Source organism: Homo sapiens, chromosome 3, assembly GCF_000001405.40.
Source record: "Homo sapiens chromosome 3, GRCh38.p14 Primary Assembly".
NCBI classification, from domain to species: domain Eukaryota; kingdom Metazoa; phylum Chordata; class Mammalia; order Primates; family Hominidae; genus Homo; species Homo sapiens.
In genome coordinates, this window is record NC_000003.12 from 84,902,736 (window position 1) to 84,906,038 (window position 3,303).

Below are 3,303 nucleotides of genomic sequence, written 5' to 3' on the forward strand. Positions count from 1 at the left end.
TATAATAAAATCAAATTAGAAGCCAAATAATGTTTCTTGCCAATAGACTGTAAGGGAAATTATGATATATTCATAGGAAGCCCCTGGGAAAAATTTTGCAAGGATTTTTAATGATATTGTTAACTGTTTCTAGAGCAAAGTTAAGTAAAATATGCTGGATTTAAATATTTATAATCAATATATTCATTCATTTAGTGACTATTTCACTCATCAAAATGTATCAGGCAGTATTCCAGTAGAAGAGGAAGATGTAGTGCTGACTAAGACAAATGAAAGCCCTGTCCTCATGGGCATCTATTTTTCTATCTACCTATCTATTGACCTAACTGCTTACCTATCCACTTGTATCAGTCAGCTCTTACTGAATAACAAACCATTCCAAAACTCAGTGCTGTAAATCAATTATGTGCCATGAGATTCTTGCTTTTATATCAGAGGGTCATCCAGAGAAATATGCAGTAGAAATAAATTAATAAAAATGTCTAAAGTCACAAAGTTAATCTGTTTTTAAAAAGACAGAATTTTATAACCATGTGCTATACTTTTGAAAGGTCATAGGCTAAGATGTTAAATGATAAAGGAAAACATTAGTTTCTCTTGATAGTATCTATGTGGATAGATTTGATGCCGTCTCAAATATGCTGGGCATAGGGAGGAGCAGGGGTAAAAAGAAAAAAAAAAATCTGCTGGGCAGCTGGAGATACAGCAATAGAAGGCTCTAGAAATCAGGAGAAATCTGGAAGTCTGAAGAAGGAAGAAAATGACTGAAAATCTGAAGTAACCAGAAGAGACTTATTCCTTCCTCATGTGTATAACCCCAGCTAAACTTCCTTACCCTGAAAGTGACAGATGAGGCCAGGTGCGGTGGCTCATGTCTGTAATCCCAGCACTTTTTGGGAGGCCAAGGCAGGCGGATCACGAGGTCAGGAGTTCAAGACCAGCCTGGCCAACAGGGTGAAACCCCATCTCTACTGAAAAAAAAAAAAATTAGCCCAGTGTGGTGGCATGCACCTGTAATCCCAGCTATTTGGGAGGCTGAGGAAAGAGAATTGCTTGAACCCGGGAGGCAGAGATTGCAGTGAGCTGAGACCGTGCCACTGCCCAACAGTCTGGGCGACAGAGCAAGACTCTGTCTCAAGTAAATAAATAAATAAACAGAGTGGCTTGTAGTTTTTCTGAAATTCCCCAAACCAGTCTCATTGTGTCTACTCAGAATATACCAGCACTAGCTGGTCAAAGCCTCTTTCTCAGAATTTTATTTCCTCCTCTTAATAAGCTCCCTCTTTTAGACCTAAGGCATCATTATGAAATGAATTGTGCCCTTTCCTCAAGGCCTGCAACCAAGTTCTACAGAATCTTTCTTCACAGGACTTCAGGTACGAGTACCAACCTTATCAGGAGTCCACGTTCCATTTTAATGAGGTCTCTCCTCCAAACTTCTATTATTAACAGTTTCAGCCTCTTCCCTTTTTAACCTCCAGCCTTAGGGATGGTAAGTGCTTTCCACAGCAACTCCATGAAAATGTAGTGTTTCCTTTTGCTTTTTAATTAAGTTGTCACCAATATCTAATTATTAAGATTAGTTTATATGAAAATATCTCTGTTCAAACAGCTGGTGTGGTTCATATTTCTTGAATAGCTTCTGACTAACTTACATTAGATTGGTCAAAGCAAATCACATGACCAAGCCAATCTCTGTGGATGGAAATACCTACTCTTCCTCTGCTAGGAAATTCAAACATGATATATTTTCAGACTTGTGTGTCATAAGAAGGCAGTAATTGGAAATATGTTTGTGAATTATTGAAGGAAATAATTCAATAAATCCACTATTTTATACCAGATATTTATATATTCTCTATTTTCCATTTGTGGAAATGTATGATAACGACAATAGCTTACATTTATTCAATGCTTGCCAGTGCAGGCACTGATGCCTAATCTTCACAACAACCTTATGAAGTAGTTACTCTTATTACCCCTATTTAAAAAATAAGAAAACTGAGTTTGAATCATATTAATTAGTCCAAGGTCCCGCAGTTTTTATGTGACATATCCAGGATTCAAAAGCAACGGGCTGTTGGAGAGCTCACATGGTTAAACAACACAAAACATTTTGTCAAAATGAAATGTTGATGGCAGCAGCAGCCTGTCTGGAGTGTCCGCTGTCTTGACGCTAGCTCAGTGAGGGAGGCGCAGCTGGGACTGCCGCTCCATGGAGCTGGCAGGAGCTGGGAACAGGTGGTAGCCCCACCCTCTTACAAGTTGGAGGGGTGGGAGCCCCGCCCTCACAGGCACAGCTGCATCCGCTTAGTCTTGGCTGTGGATCTGTGTATCCCTGCACTTTGCGGGGATGGGAGGTGCAGGAAGCCCCCCTGCCCCCGCAGCCTCAGAAGTGCCTGTTCCTGCTGCCTGGTCTCTCCCCACTCCCAGTGCCCACTCCCGTTTCACAGCAAAGTTGTGGCTGAGCTCAGGCACCGTCATCACCTGGCGGGGTGTGCACGTGCCTGGGGCAGCAGTGAAATGCTAGCCCCCTGCCACCTTGGTGCCTTCTGGACTTTGGTCACCAACAAGCATGGGAGGGAGCCCGAGAGGGGCAGCTTGGCGTGGGCCTGTAGGCTCCCTGCAGCAACAGCCTGGTCGCCATGGGCACCGTGGCTGGCAGGTTAATGGTGGCAGAAAGCAAATAGGATCCTGGCTGGAAAGGGTCAAGTCCCTGGTGAAACCCCACCTTCAAGCCAGGGAGGGCCTGAGGCCTGGGCTCCACGTTGCCTTTTCCGTGCACCAGAGTGAAAACTCGCGCTTTTTCCGGGCCTGCCCATGGCCACCTACGGACCAATCTGGCATGCACTTCCTCCCCTATGAAGCCCATAAAAACCCTGGACTCATTTAGACTCGGGCAGATGACGGAGTAGCCTCCCTGTGGACAGGTGCTACCCACTGTGGGTGTCCTCTCTGCTGAGAGCTGGACACTCATTGGGACGACCTGACTGTGGAGAGGAGCTACCCAGTATAGGTCTCCTCTGAGACCTATACTGTTCTGTCACTAAATAAAGCAATTGTTTGCCTTATTCACCCTCCACCTGTCCACATACTTTATTCTTCCTGGACACAGGACAAGAACTCAGGACCCATCAAACGGTGGGACTGAAAGAACTGTAACACAAACAGGGCTGAAACATGCCCCTTGCTTGCCACATTGCAGGCGACAAGGAGGAGGTAAGAGGGAAAGAGAGAAGAGCTGCGGCCATTCAGGGAGCCCAGACCTGGGAGCTCCCTGAGCCAGGGCTGTGACACCTTCTT

The 3,303-nt window shown here is 44.8% G+C and overlaps 1 annotated feature.

Annotated features, from left to right (window-relative positions):
* Nucleotides 2,495-2,994: an enhancer, noted in NCBI's record as "H3K4me1 hESC enhancer chr3:84954381-84954880 (GRCh37/hg19 assembly coordinates)". NCBI's record gives its function as "activates a minimal SCP1, AML or CMV promoter by ChIP-STARR-seq in naive H9 embryonic stem cells {active_cell/tissue: H9 hESC(naive)}" and the evidence as "EXISTENCE:reporter gene assay evidence [ECO:0000049][PMID:30033119]".